At 40.7% G+C, this 16,137-nt stretch overlaps 1 protein-coding gene across 12 annotated transcripts in view; it reads right to left on the reverse strand.

Moving 5' to 3' along the window:
* The window catches only part of PPIL6 (peptidylprolyl isomerase like 6), a 50,957-nt gene that overhangs the window by 17,599 nt on the left and 17,221 nt on the right, over positions 1-16,137 (reverse strand). For 5 of the 12 annotated variants that reach the window (NR_104429.1, NM_001286361.1, NM_001286360.1 and 2 more), the window contains one exon: positions 11,374-11,430. Coding sequence is in view for 11 of the 12 variants with exons in the window: in NM_001286361.1 (NP_001273290.1) it covers positions 11,374-11,430 (57 nt within the window). In the remaining variant the exon portion in view is untranslated. Of the gene's footprint in view, positions 1-611; positions 2,565-6,062; positions 10,430-11,373; positions 11,431-16,137 lie in introns of those variants that run through there. The other 7 variants (XM_047418674.1, XM_047418675.1, XM_011535769.3 and 4 more) reach the window with 3 other exon arrangements.

Genomic DNA, 16,137 nt, shown 5'->3' on the forward strand with positions numbered 1-16,137 from the left:
TATCATCATACAGCATACTCTCACCCTTTGAGATGGGGTCTTGCTATGTTGCCCAGGCTGGTCTCAAGCTTCTGGGCTCAAGCAATTCTCCTGCCTCAGCCTCCCAAGTAGGTGGGACTAAAGGTGCATGCTGCCACACCTGGCGTACTCCTCACTGAATATAATAAATTCACAAATAATAATATGATTAATGCTCACCACCAGTTGTGTGTCAAGGTCTCTCTTATTATTAATATTTGGTTGTGTGAAATTCATTCTACAGGAGATTCTGCAGAAAGGGCTCATGGCAACACTATTCCCTGAAGTCTTGCATGTTGATAAACCTGTGTGCCCTTTATAATTTAACATCAGTTTGACTGGATATAAAATCCTTGCTCACATTTCCTTTGCTTGAGTTCATAAATATATTATTCCATTTTCTTCTGGCATAAAGTGTTGCTGTCAAAGAATATGATAATCTAATTTTCTTTCCCTTATAAATCACTTGCTCTTTTTCCCTAGATGCCCAAATAATTTTTCTTCAATGTCCAATAATGTTAGGAAAATATGTCTTGGTGTTGGTTGTTCTGCTTCAAATTGTCAGGTTCATGGTATGCATTTTCAATAAGTGGTTTCAATTTTTTAGATACTTTTATTTGAGGTATAAACATTTTCACTTGAGATATATAAATATTTTTACTTACGGTATAAACATATGCTTGAGGTATACACAATTGTCAAAATGCATCAAACATCTAAGATATATGCATTTTATTAAAATTTAATAAATACATATTTGATGATCAGTTTGATGCTGTATAACCACCACCTAAAATAAGATATAGAACCTCAAATCCTTTTTATATTTTAGGGAAGTTTTCTTTAATTATAGTCTTAGCATTCATTCTGTTCCCCTGCATTAATTTAATTCCTTAGAGATACGTATCATCTAAATGTTAAATCTCCTCTTTCTTTAATATTTGTCACTTTCCTGTAAATAATTTTTACCTTTCTTCATTTACTTTTGGTTTAAAAAAATTTCCTCCTCCTGAGGGAATACTTCTAAACTCATTTTACAAGGCCAGTATTACCCTGAATACCAAAACCAGACAAAGGCACATCATAAAAAGAAAACTACAGGCCACTACCTCTGATGAATACTGATGCAAAAGTCCTCAACAAAATACTTACAAACCAAATTCAACAATACATTAAAAGGGCCATTCATCATGACCAAGCAGGACTTATCCTTGAGATGCAAGGATGGTTCAATGTATGCAAATCAATCAATGTGATATCGACAAAATGAAGGATAAAAACCATATGATCATTTCAATTAATGCTGAAAAAGCATTTGATAAAATTCACATCCCTTCATGATTAAAAACCCTCAAAAGACTGGGTATAGTTCTCCTAGTACTATGTAGCTAGAGCAACCAGACAAGAGAAAGAAATAAAGGGGGTCCAAATTGGAAAGAAAGAGGTCAGGTCAGGTGCGGTGGCTCACGCCTGTAATCCCAGCACTTTGGAAGGCCAAGGCAGGCGGATCACTTGAGGTCAGGAGTTCCAGACAAGCCTGGCCAACATGGTGAAACCCCATCTCTATTAAAAATACAAAAAAATTAGCCAGGCAGGGCGGCAGGTGCCTGTAATCCCAGCTACTCAGGAGGCTGAGGCAGGAGAATCACTTGAACCCAGGAGGCAGAGGTTGCAGTGAGCTGAGATCACGCCACTGCACCCCAGCCTGGGCGACAGTGTCGTGAGACTCCATCTCAAAAAAAAAAAAGAAAGAGGTCAAATTATCCTTGTTTATAGATTACATGATCTCATATTTAGAAAAACCTACAGACTCCACACAAAAGTCTATTAGAACTGATAAATAAATTTAGTAAAGTTGCAAGATACAAAAACATACAAAAATCAATAGCATTTCTATATGCCAACACTGAACAATCTGAAAAAGAAATCTAAAAAGTAAACCCATTTACAAATAAAACTAAATTAATAGGAATTAACCAAAGTGAAAAATCTCTACAATGAAAACTATACAACACTGATGAAAGAAACTGAAGAGGATGCCCCAAAAATGGAAAGCTATTTCATGTTCATAGGCTAGAAGAATCAATATTATTTAAAATGTCCATACTATCCAAAGCAATCTAGAGTCAATGCAATCTCTATCAAAATACCAATGACAGCCCACTAGCAGGGTGGCCATAGTGCCATCTGCCTCGTGTAGGGCCCGCTTCTCTGACCAGCAGACCCATGGATTACCACCTGATGCAAGCCCCTCCCACTGAGGCAGCCTCGCTGAGCCCATCGCAGCTGAGGTATCCTGGAGAGATCTTCACCCGTGTCCCATGTGGAAGATCAGTTGGCACCATTTCTGCTGGAGCTTTAATATTTTTCTTCTTCCTGATTATAATACTTATTTTCTGTAGCTTTAGCCAAGCTCCTGGGAAACACCTCTTTTGTCCTTGTTGGGTGTAGAGGCCATGCTAAGGCCCAACGGAACACCATGTTGTCACTGTTCATCCTGTTTGCTCTCCTAATCACCTTGGTCCAGTATGGGTGGGAACACAACTCTATAATAAATATTTCGACAAGTATTGCATCAGGGAATCATCTTCATGGCTGCTGGATTGTCATGAACATTCCCAGGATAGAGAGTTCTGTCTTCTGGCTTACCTAAGAAACCTCACTACCATCCCCGCTGACCTCCTAAAATAGTGATCTTCAAATCCCAAACTCCTACTTGTTGAATGGAACTCTCCCCCACTTAACGGATTCCACTTGAACCCCCTGCCAACATTACCTGGACCTGGGAAATTGGGTATCTATATCTCTAGCGCACTAATGATTCTATCTTTTGCATTCACTGTTGTGTTCATGACACAAGAGTGGAAGCCTCCCTGTGATGCTCTGATTCAACTTTAGTTGCCACATTCCCAAGGCCACAGCAAGGTAAATGGGATTCTACTTGTAAGTGAGGAGACCACATATGGTGCCTTCTGGATCAGAACATATAAGGGAAAAACAACTGCCTAGTCTGGGAAGGTGGGAGTACTGCCCCCTTCCAGAAAACAAAGGGTGTCCCGCCACCCCCATCGGAACAGGGGAAAAATATCTCTCTAGACACAATTTCACAGTAAAGCATAAATACCACATCCCAATAGGGCTTCTGTTTGTGCCCCAACCGGCTCATTTTTGTTTGTGGCATGAATGGGAAGAAGTTACAACCTGAACTGCTCCCAACTCCCTAGGAAGTCACCTTTTCCCTTAGGAGTAGCTTTCCCTTGTATATCAAAAACTTGGAACAGAGGTGAATGTATGCTGGCCACTCTTGCCCCTCCAGGAGTCACTGTCTATAACCGCATAACACCCAAGAATACCAGAAGTAAGTGAGTAATAGGAGTAATTCTGGCAGGAATTGGCAGTGATAGGACTAGCAGCACCCCGGGGCAGCTTTGCCTACCATGAGCCAACTCTAATGAACTTGACTCAATCCCTAGAATCCTTAGCCACCAACACAGGTCAGGCATTAAAGGGAATTCAAGAGTCCTTAGGCTCTTTGGCAAATGCAGTTCTCATTAACAGACTAGCATTGGATTATTTACTAGCTGAACATGGTGGAGTCTGTGTAGTTATTAATAAAACCTGCTGCACATATTTTAACAACTCTAGGCAAGTTGAGATTAACATTCAAAAGATCTATGAACAAGCTACCTGGTTACACAGATATAACCAGGGCACTGACCCCAACTATAGCTGGTCAATTATCAAGTGCTTTCCCAAGTCTCACCTGGTTTTTACCTCTCATAGAACCTTGGATAGTTATCTTCTTGTTTCCAATTTTTGGCCCTTGCTTATTTAACCTCTTAGTAAAAGTTTGTGTTTTCTAGATTACAACAGTTCCAGGTAAAAAACAATGCTGGCACAAGGCTTCCAACCTATCCCATCTACTGACCTGGAGAATGAAAGTGTCCTGCCTGTGGGCCCGTTACAACAGGTATCCAGAGATTTTTTTACTCCTCCAGTGCTAGGCAGGGCCTATGGCCATGAGCTCAGCAGCAAGCAGTTACAGAAGACTGGCCTTCACCCTTCTGCAGCCCTCTTAATATTAAGGAGGAGGATCTAATTTCTGAGGGGAAAATGAGGTAGGAGGCAGGACTTGACTCCAGAGGTGGGGCTCAGATTGAGGACTCCAGAGGTGGGGATCAGATTGAGGACTAGCTAAAATAGGGCCAGGGCGAAAGCACCTTTCAATCAGACCTGTCCATCAATGTGCCATGTCAATCTACTGTTGCCGAGGCAACACCTGGGAGTTACTGGCCTTTTCCATGGCATCTAATGATCCAAAAGTTACTATCCCTTTCCTGCATAAACTGCCCCTTAATCTCATGCAATTAAAAGTGGGTATAAATGTGACTGTAAAACTGTCCTGAGCTGCTACTCTCTGCCTACAGGGTAGCTCTGCTCTGCAGGAGCAGTCACAGAGCTATAACACCACTGGAGCTGTAACACTGCCTGTTCAATAAAGCTGTTTTCTTCTAAAAAGGAATTACCAATGACATTCTTCATGGAAATAGAAAAAACAATCCTAAAATTTACATGGAGCCATGAAAGACCCCGAATAGCTAAAGCTATCTTAAGCAAAAAGAACAAAACGGAAGGAATCACATTACCTGACTTCAAATTATACTACAGAGCTATAGTAACCAAAACAGCATGATACTGGCATAAAAACAGACACATAGACCATCAGAACACAATAGAGAACCCAGAAACAAATCCACAAACTCATAGTGAACTCACTTTCAACAAAGGTGCCAAGAACATAAGCTGAGGAAAAGACTTCAATAAATAATGCTGGGAAAACTGGATATCCATATGCAAAAGAGTGAAACTAGACCCCTACCTCTCACCATATATAAAAATAAAATCAAAATGGATTAAAGACTTAAATCTAAGCCCTCAAACTATGAAACTACTACAAGAAAACATCGAGGAAACTCTCTGGACAAATGGGATCATATCAAGTTAAAAAGATTCTGCACAACAAAGGAAACAACAAAGTGAAGACATGGCTGGGCGTGGTAGCTCACACCTGTAATTCCAGCACTTTGGGAGGCTGAGGCAGGTGGATCACGAGGTCAGGAGTTCAAGACCAGCCTGGCCAACATGGTGAAACCCTGTCTCTACTAAAAATACAAAAATTAGCCAGGTGTAGTTATGTGCGCCTCTAATCCCAGCTATTTGGGAGGCTGAGGGAGGAGAATTGCTTGAACCCAGGCAGCGGAGGTTGCAGTGAGCTGAGATGGCACCACTGCATTCTATCCTGGGTGACAGAGTGAGACTCTGTCTCAAAACAAACAAACAAACAAACAAAAACCCACAGAAAATATTTGCAAACTACCCATCTGACGAGGGATTAATAACCAGAATATATAAGGAGCTCAAACAACTCTACAGGAAAAAACCTAATAATCAGATTATAAAATGGGCAAAAGATTTGAACAGACATTTCTCAAAAGAAGACATACAAATGGCAAACAGGCATATGAAAAGGTGCTCAACACCACTGATCATCAGAGAAACGTAAACCCAAACTACAACGAGATATCTCACTCCAGTTAAAATGGCTTTTATCCAAAAGACAGGCAATAACAAATGCTGGCAAGGATGTGGAGAAAAAGGGACCCTTGTACACTGTTGGTGGGAATGTAAACTAATGTGCAACCACTATGGAGAACAGTTTGGAGGTTCCTCAAAAAACTAAAAATAGAGCTACCATATGATCCAGGAATCTCACTGCTGGGTATATACCCAAAAGAAAGGAAATCATTATATCAAAGAGATACCTGCACTCCTATGTTTGTTGCAGCACTGTTTACAATTGCCAAGATTTGGAAGCTACCTAAGTGTCCATCAACAGAAGAATGGATAAAGAAAATGTGGTACATATACACAATGGAATACTATTCAGCCATAAAAAAGAATGAGATCCAGTCATTTGCAACAACATGGATGGGACTGGAGGTCATTATGCTAAGTGAAATAAGCCAGGCACAGAAAGACAAACATAACATGTTCTCATTTATTTGTGAGATCTAAAAATCAAAACAAATAAAATCATGGAGACGAGAGTAGAAGGATGGTTACCAGAAACTGGGAAGGGTAGTGAGGGTTAAAGGAGGGTGGTGAGGATGGTTAATAGGCACAAAAAAAAAGAAAAAATGAGTAAGACCTCGTATTTGATAGAACAAGAGGGCAACTATAGTCAATAATAATTGTACCTTTTAAAATAAAAGTGTATAATTGGATTGTAACACACAGAATAACTGCTTGAGGAGATGGATACCCTATTTTATATGATGTGATAATTTCACATTGCTTGCCTGTACCAAAATATCTCAGGTACCTCATAAAGATACACACCTACTATGTACCCACAAAAATTAAAGCAAACAAAAAAATTCCTCTGCCTACCTTGTACTTCTTTTAGGACATATGTTGTATTTTTATTTCCTCTTATGTTCCTTGTAGTTTACTCACTTCTGAAATTATTTTTCTTTCATTGCTTTCCTCAGCCCTTCTTTCCTCAGCTCTGTTGCATCATGTTTTTTTCTAATTCTGATTTATGAGCTCTTTCATGTCTTGTATCATTTTCTTAATGTCTTTTAGCTTTTTTTTTTTTTTTTTTTTTTTTTGAGACAAGGTCTTGCTCTGTTGCCCAGGCTGGAGTGCAGTGGTGCAATCTTGGCTCACTGCAGCCTCTGCCTCCCAGGCTCAAGCAATCTTCCCACCTCAGCCTCCCAGGTAGCTAGGATTACAGGTGTGTGCCACTATGCCCAGCTAATTTTTGTATTTTTTGTAGAGATGGGGTTTGCCATGTTGCCCAGGCTTCTTTTAGCTTATTTTGATATAGACTGTTACAGTTTTGATCTACAGTTGACCCTTAAACAATGCGGGGGGTTAGGGACACCAACCCCTCGGAGCAGTCAAAAATCCACATATAACTTTTGACTCCCCAGTGACTTAACTACTAATAGTCTGCAATGGACTAGATGCCTTATCAATAACATAAATAGTCGATTACATATATTTGGTGTGTTACATGTATTGTATACTGTATCCTTACAATAAAATAAGCTAGAGAAAATAAAATGTTATAAAGAAAATCATAAGGAAGAGAAAATATATCTACTATTCATTAAGTGGAAGTGGATCATCATAACAGTCTTCATCCTTGTCACACTGAGTAGGCTGAGGAGGAGGAAGAGAAGGAGTTGGTCTTGCTGTCTCAGGGTGGCAGAGGCAGAGAGGTGGACGAGGTAGAAGGGGAGGCAGGAAAGGTGGTCACACTCAGTGTTAACTTTACGGAAATACATTATAATTTGTTTGACTTTTTGCTTTTTCATTTCTCTAGCAATGTTTCCATACAGTATCAATCCTTATTCCACTCTTTGCTTTAGTTTCATTGCTCTTATCATAAAAGGGTCTATGTTGTAAAAGAAGTCAAAAGTAGTCTTGAGTAACTGGAACCCTTCCGCCAGATTGTCTAGTGTCAGTTTGTTTCCTGACACTGCTCCTTCTACGTCTTCTTCCTCATGATCTGGCACTGGTTCGGAGGCACTCATCTCTATCAACTCATCTTTGAATGCCTCTGCTGTGGTATATATTAGGCCTTGAATTTCTCCAAGATCCATATCTTGACAACGTTCACCCCTCATCTTTTTTGCCATATCCACAAATCTCTTTGATGATTTCCTTGATGGGCTCTGTCATAAATCCCGTGAAGTCAAGCACAACATCTGGGCACAATTTTCTCCAGCGGAAACTTGTTTTGAGCTTGATGGCTTTCATGGCTTTTTCTATAACGACAATAGCATCTTGAATGGTATAATCCTTCCAGACTTTCATGACGTTCTTTCTATTGGGGTTCTCTTCCATAATGTTGACAATCCTTTCCATAGAGTACCATGTGTAATCAGCCTTAAAGGTCCTTATGACCCCCTGACTAGAGGCTGAATTAGACATGTTGTGTTTGGGGACTAGTAGACCACTTTGATGCCTTTGGTGTTGAACTCATGGTGTTCTGGTGGCCAGGGGCATCATTGTTCAATATCAAAAGAACTTTTTAAAAGGTAGTCCCTTACTGGCAAGGTACTTCCTAACTTCAGGGAGAATGTATTGATGTAACCAATCTAGAAAAAGGGTTCTCATTGTCCAGGCCTTTTTGTACAACCAAAAGGCTGGCAGTTGGTGTTTAGGTTAGCAGCTTTATGGTTAGGAGCAGTCTGGATCATAAACCCAACTGCATTGGCACACAACAGTACAGTTAGCCTATTCCTTCCTGCCTTAAATGATAGTGCTTGCTTCTCTTACTAATAAATGTCTTTTGTGGCTTTTTTTTTTTTTTTTTTTGAGACAAGAGTCTTACTCTGTCTCCTAGGCTGGAGTGCAGTGGCGTGATCTCGGCTCACTGCAACCTCTGCCTCCCGAGTTCAAGTGATTCTCCTGCCTCAGTCTCCCAAGTAGCTGGGATTACAGGCACCTGCCATCACTCCCAGCTAAATTTTATATTTTCAGTAGAGACAGGGTTTCACCATGTTGGCCAGGCTGGTCTTGAACTCCTGACCTCAGGTGATCCACCCGCCTCAGCCTCCCAAAGTGCTGGGATTACAGGTGTGAGCCACTGCGCCTGGCCTTTTTGTGGCTTTTTTTTTTTTTTTTCCAGAATAGGTCACTTTTGTCTGCCATAAAACTTGTTCAGGTAGATATCCTTTTTCTTCTCATTTTGTTAATGACATCTTGGAATTTATCTTCTGCCTCTTGGTCAGAAGAAGCTGCTTCTCCTGTTATCTGGACATTTTTAAAGCCAAACTTTTTTCTAAAATTATCAAACCATCTTTTGCTGGAATTAAATTATCCAGTTTTAGATCTTTTACCTTCCTTTTGCTTTAAGTTGTCATATAATAGCTTTGATTTTTCTCAAATCATATTAGAGTCTACAGGTCTGCCTTTCTTATAGCCATCCTGTGCCCACATAAAAGCTGCATTTTCAATACAAGACAAAAAAGGTATTTTGCAGGCTAGGCTTGGTGGCTCACACTTGTAATCCCAATGACTCAGAAGGCCAACTCAGGAGGACCACTTGAGCCCAGGAGTTGGAGACCAGCTTGGACAACAGAGCAAGACCCCATCTCTACAAATCTTTTTTTTAAAATTAGCCAGCGTGGTGGCATGCACCTGTAGTCCTAGTTACCTGGGAGGTTGAGGCAGGAGGATCCCTTAAGCCCAGGAGTTTAAGGTTACCATGAGCTATGATCACGCCATTGCACTTTAGCCTGGACGACAAAGTGAGATCCTGTCTCTTAAAAAAAAAAAAAAGAAAAAAAAAGGTAAAAGTATTTCACAAAAAAGTGCAAGGTTTTCACACCTGATGGTATAGCTGCAGTGGCAGCTTCTCCAAAAAATGGTCCTCCAAGTAGGTAGTAGTCCCACCTACTTAGGAGGCTAAGGTGGGAAGATTGCTTGAGCCCAGGAGTTCAAGTCCAGCTTGGGGAATACAGTGAGACCCTGTCTCTATTTTTTTTTTTTTTTTAAAGAAACTGACTGTAAGTTTCTTTAAGTGGACTCGTACATTTCAAATCCATGTTGCTCAAGGGTCAACTGTATCCTATGAGCATGTCTTTCTAGGGTACATTCACTATCAATGCTGATGTTACTCTGCTCTTTATTCTCTTTATTCTTATAATCACCTTGAAACTTCTATTGTTCATTCTAATATAAAATTAGTGTAATAGTGGTCAGAATCAAAATGTAGTCATGTTTAAAAAATGCTGACAAATAGAGCCAAGGAAAGCTATGAACAGAGAACTCTCACACTTGTATGCCTGATAGCAAAACAATCACAAAGAACTACAAAAGCCACAACCTTGCATAAAGGCCATTGCGACCTTATGCAGGAAATATTAATACTTCTGCAGGGACACCTGTCCAGTCCAACCTTGGACTCTTGTTACTGATCGCTATAGCCAAGGATAATCATTTCAAAACAATTACGTAATCTTCCCCAATTTTCCTTTAAAACCCTTTGTCTGCCTTTACCTTCCTGAATATGCACATCGTTTCCTATGGCACATATATGCCTACAGCAATACCCTATTCCTGAATAAACATTATTTTCTTTCAGAGAAACTCTCTTTGTTATATAGGGTGACATTAGTTTTCCTAAATGTTTAGAAGATGTGTCTTTAGAAAGAAAGTAGATTTTCTAGTTTCAAAAAGCTCCCTCTTGCATGTTGAAAATCTTGCATATTGAAGCATGTGGCTTTCTTCCTTAAATTTCTGACTCTGTTCCTATTCCCTCTTTGTCATGATTGTCCCTGTATCCTGGATAATTTTGATGCCATTCCCAACAGTTCCATCTGCATGGGAGCCTGTCCTGGAAGAGAGCCTTGTCAGATCAGTTTCGAGAGTACACAGGGGTTAGACTGCTCCTGCCTCTTCCAACCTTCCTGGGGGCCCCCTGTACTCACACACTATTGGCTACTTAGGGGATCCTAAGTACCCTATTCTTGGGAAGCCCTGCCCTCCCCTACACAGATGCTGATACTGTGCAGATTTCATGGCTGTTGGTTTGTTGTTTGTCCTTAACTGTTTGTATTGTGGAATTTAGGTAGATACCTTGTCACCTGCTTTTGTTGTAAATGTTATACAGGGTTTTTCTACCAACAGCAATCTTTTTTTCTTTTTTTTTTTTTTTTGAGACCGAGTCTCACTCTGTCACCCAGGCTGGAGTGCAGTGGCACCATCTCAGCTCACTGCAACCTCCATGTCCCAGGTTCAAGTGATTCTCCTGCCTCAGCCTCCTGAGGATCTGGGAGGCGTGCGCCATCATGCCTGGCTAATTTTTGTATTTTTAGTAGAGATGGAGTTTCACCATATTAGCCAGGCTGATCTCGAACTCCTGACCTCAAATGATCCACCCACCTCGGCCTCCCAAAGTGCTGGGATTATAGGCGTGAGCCACCATACCTGGCCACCTGACAGCAATCTAAATAGAATGATTATCAAGGTACCAGTTCTAAGTATCAGCACGGGAAATTACAAGCCCTAAAAATATAAATTCCCTTTGACTCTACAATCCTAATTCTGGGATTTACCCTAAAGAAATAATATCATTAGGTAAGTGAAAAAAATATGTGTGTATGAAGCTGCTCTGGTCGGGCCTTAGGGCGCTTCCCCCCGATCTGCTCATTTTTACCTCTTGCTTGTACTGTAAGTATTGCCCCCAGTGATATCTTATTTGGAATTGTGAAACTGTCCAGTCCTGTTAAGTTTGAATAATCAACTAATATATAACTAACAAAATGTAAAGATACATACCTTCAAATGTTGGACCATAAATCGACTCTCCATTATCTCCTTTTCCATACACTATATCTGAGAAATAGCAACAAATAAACATTAGAATTTTGAGATGAAAAGATTTAGGATACAATAATGACAGGGAAAAAATTTTGCTTTCAATGATGATTTCAAGGCTGAGGTGGGATGATCACTGGAGCCCAGGAGTTTGAGACCAGCCTGGGCAACATAATGAGACTCCATCTCGATTAAAAAAAAAAAAAAGAGGAATCAGCCAGGTATGGTAGCTCACGCCTGTAATCCCAGCACTTTGGGAAGCCGAGGCAGGCAGATCACCTGAGGTCAGGCATTCGAGACCAGCCTGGCCAACACGGTGAAACCCTGTCTCTACTAAAAACACAAAAATTAGCTGGGCGTGGTGGCATGTGCCTGTAATCCCAGCTACTAGGGAGGCTGATGCAGGAGAATTGCTTGAACTCAGGAGGTGGAGGTTGCGGTGAGCCGAGATTGCGCCATTGCACTCCAGCCTGAGCAACGAGAGTGAAACTCCATTTCAAAAAAAAAAACAAAAGAATGCAATATGATTCCACTTATACCAATGAATAGAATAAGTTACCTAATTATTCAATATCCACACTATGAAAATATTACTATAATAATTTCACTTGTATTTTATAAGCACTTTTACATTCATGATAATGCAAACTTTTGAAAGGATGAAGCATTAAATTATAATTGTGGTCACAATTTTTCAAAAGTATGTTCACATAAATTCTGCTTTCTTCATAAGTTATTCCAGTCTATCTTGTTTTTCTGAGATCAAGATTAAACTAAGAGGCTAAAACAGGAAAAGTAAGTTATTTTTAGAATATGTATAAAAAATAGAGCCAGGCGCGGTGACACACCTGTAATCCCAGCACTTTGGGAGGCCGAAGCAGGCAAATCACTTGAGGCCAGGAGTTCGAGACCAGCCTGGCCAACATGGTGAAACCTGTCTCCACCAAAAATACAAAAATTAGCTGGGTGTGGTGGCTGGTGCCTGTAATCCCAGCTACTCGGGAGGCTGAGGCAGGAGAATTGCTTGAATCCGGGAGGCAGAGGTTGCAGCGAGCTGAGATCGCACCACTGCACTCCAGCCTGGGCGACAGTGTGAGACTCCATCTCAAAAAAAAAAAAAAAAAAAAAAAAAAAAAAGAATATGAATAAAAAATAGGTGCTGCAAACAGAATTCATGTTCAAAATTTCATATCCTATAGTGATAACTCATTTATTTACCTAGCATATTGGAAATAAAGTTTCCTATAATGTAACAAGGTTTTTTTCAGGTGTTCACATGCTACGCATATTTTGGTTTAGGCAATGCTCCCACTATAAAAAGACTCCATGAACAAGTTATTTTTTATCTATCCACAGCTAAAAGAGGAGCAAAGCTAACTCTAGTGAAAAGAGCGGGCTCTGAGGTCTGTCCTCTCTCCCCCATCCTCCCCATCAGTATCTGTCTACTAACTTCAGCTCTATTCTGCTGCCTCCTTTAATACAGTGCTCAATAAATATTTATTGAAGGACTATGCTTTTTAAAGTCAGTATGAGCAATTTACCTACAATAAAAGTGTGTGTGCTATTTTTCAAAGAAAACTGATGCAGCACCAAGCATGTAGAGAGAATTTATCCCAGAAAGGCCATGCAGCATTTAAATTATACTACTCAGAAAGCTGGCTCAGAAGTTAATTGACAAGCCTTAAGTCTCCAACCTGACTCACCTAAAACTCAGCCATGGTTCACTACCCAGCCCCAGGCAGCTCTTGAAAGGAAGTTGTCATGGCTGAAGGCTGAATCTGGAAATGGGGAAGCTGAGGGCCCCCCCACCATCAATCCCTTCAGATCCTAGGGGTTGGTTCTCTCAGGGAAATCCACCCAGGTGGTCTTCTCCCCTGCCAACTTACCTACCCGTTGGTCACATTCCCTTGCCCCCTCCCTCCCACACCCACCAACATTACTCTTGTCCTCTGCTTCAGATCTCCTAGGTGAATATTTTATATTGACACCATTTCAATCCGTATTTACTATTCTTTTTTGTGGCCATATCCACCCTCTTGAATTCAGCCTTGTATATCTGATATTATTGCTATACTTCTGACAACAAATTCAGAGATGCCAAATAGTGGTTAAAAGCAAACTTTAAAGTCAGATGATCTTTGATTAAAATGCTGATGTCAGTTACTTTTTCCAAACCTGTTTGCTTATCTGTACAAACAGGGATAATGGTAACTGCCTCACAGGTAGCTCTGAGGATGAAATGAAATAACATAGGTAGAGCACTCAGGCAGTGTTTGGCAGAGTGTCATGCCCATGCAGCATCACATGCTTCTAGAATGCCCCTTCTCATTATCATCATCTTCATCATTCTGCTCAATATGATGATGATGATAATAAAATGCATTAAATTTATCTCAAAAGATCCTTCTGAACTCACACTGAAGAAACGTCTTATGAATAGAGGAAATGCGGTAAGGGCCTTTGGTGTTCTAGTTCTATTTGATAACATAAAACAACTCATTCTGGAGAAGAGCTCTGAATGTATGGAAAGTGGCCAGGTGTGGTGGCTCATGCCTGTAATCCCAGCACTTTGGGAGGCCGAGGTGGGAGGGTTACTTGAGGCCAGGAGTTCAAGACCAGCCTGGGCAATATAGTGAGACTCTGTCTCTACAAAAAAAATTTATTTTTTTGAGACAGAGTCTTGCTCTGTTGCCCAGGCTGGAGTGCAGTGGCATCATCTCGGCTCACTGCAACGGCCACCTCTCGGGTTCAACCGATTCTCCTGCCTCAGCCTCCCGAGCAGCTGGGACTATAGGCGCATGCCACCACGCCCAGCTAATTTTTGTATTTTTAGTAGAGAGGGGGGTTTCACCATATTGGCCAGACTGGTCTCGAACTCCTGACCTCGTGATCCACCCGCCTCAGCCTCCCAAAGTGCTGGGATTACAAGCGTGAGCCACCGTGCCTGGCCTACAAAAATTTTTAAAAATTAGCTGGGCATGGTGGCATGTGCCCGTAATCCCTGCTACTTGGGAGGCTGAAGTGGGAGGAGTTCAAGGCTGCAGTGAGAGCCATGATTGTGCCATTGCACTCCAGCCTGGGTGACAGGCTAAGACCCATGCCTATATTCCTAACACTTTGGTGGGGCTGAGGCAAGAGGATTCATTGTTTGAGTCCAGGAGTTCAGGACCAGCCTGGGCAACATACAGAGACCCTGTCTTTACAAAAACATTTTTAAAAATTTGCCAGGCATGGTAATGTGTGCCTGTAGTTCCAGCTACTTAGGAGGCTGAGAAGATCACTTGAGTCCAGGAGGTTGAGGCTGCAGCGAGCTGTGATTGTGCCACTGCACTCAGCCTGAGCGACAGAACAAGACCCTGTCTCAAAAAAAAAAGAATGTGGGAATGTCTTCATTTCTCTCAAATCCATTCAAAGTCACATAATAATATACACTGGAGATGGACCTTATGAACATAAAAATGCACACTTGATTAGAACCCTAGTAGTTAGAAAAACACAGAAAAGTTCATTTAGACAATTAATTTAAAAGTCGTGTGAAAGCTCCTACTGGAAAGAAATCCTATAAATGTAAGTCAAATGGAAAGCCTGAAGCATATTAATTATTTGGTATGCTCGAGAAAATTCACAACATGAAATGTTTTATGAGTTATAAACATATTGTACTTATCAGCGGCTCATTCTTCTGTTTTTATTTGTTTTTACTACTTTCATTCATATCTCTTAACCTTCAGCCAACTCACACCATAGCAGCGCTCATTCTTAAAGAGTCTCTCTGGACTATGGATTTCCACTTTTTTTTACAAGGGAACACTGAGGTAAGAATTTGGTATGTTCTCTTTAAGCAATAATATATGAGTTCAGCTGGGCACGGTGGCTCATGCCTGTAATCCCAGCACTTTGGGAGGCTGAGGTGGGCAGATCACTTGAGGTTGGGAGTTCAAGACCAGTCTGGCCAACATGGTGAAACCCCATCTCTACTAAAAATAGAAAAAATTAGCTGGGCATGGTGGCGCGTGCCTGTATCCCAGTTACTCGGGAGGCTGAGGCAGGAGGATCACTTGAACCCCAGAGGTGGAGGTTGCAGTGAGCTGAGATGGTGCCACGTAATCCAGCCTGGATGACGGAGCGAAACTCTGCCTCAAAATAATAATAATAATATATGAGTTCAATAGGTACTTTTTTTTTTCTAAAGCCAGTTAATAAAATTTTCCTCTATCCATTTTAAAGTGTGTTGGATGTATGGGTGAAATGAAATGTATTTTTAATATACAGGTAGGTTTAATTGTTAATAGTTGGGTAATTGTTCTGTGACTAATGGGCTATTGAAAAATGAATCTTTGTTAAGTGTTTGAATTTTCTTACTGGAATTATTTGGTGGGTCCTGGATATCCTCACCCATTTTATATATATATATATCTTTTAGTCTTATGTAAAACATGATCATTTTTTGTGTAAAAAAGTTTATTTCATTTTCTTTGATTAACAAAGTGTTGGTATCAATTTTTTTTAATCCTTCTGAAGGAAGTAGGCCTCGAGGGAGCCAGAGGGGGAATCCAACCAAAGTGGTATAATGACTTGCTATCTTAACTTTGGACTTTAAAAATGCAGAGAATGTATGTTTCCTGTTTAACCACCTATTTTCCTTCTTACACTCTCTTCCTTCTTTTCTTTCTACAAGTATTTATTAAGCACCTACTATATCTCAAGCACTGTTGTAGTACGTGG

Source organism: Homo sapiens, chromosome 6 (assembly GCF_000001405.40).
Source record: "Homo sapiens chromosome 6, GRCh38.p14 Primary Assembly".
NCBI lineage: Eukaryota > Metazoa > Chordata > Mammalia > Primates > Hominidae > Homo > Homo sapiens.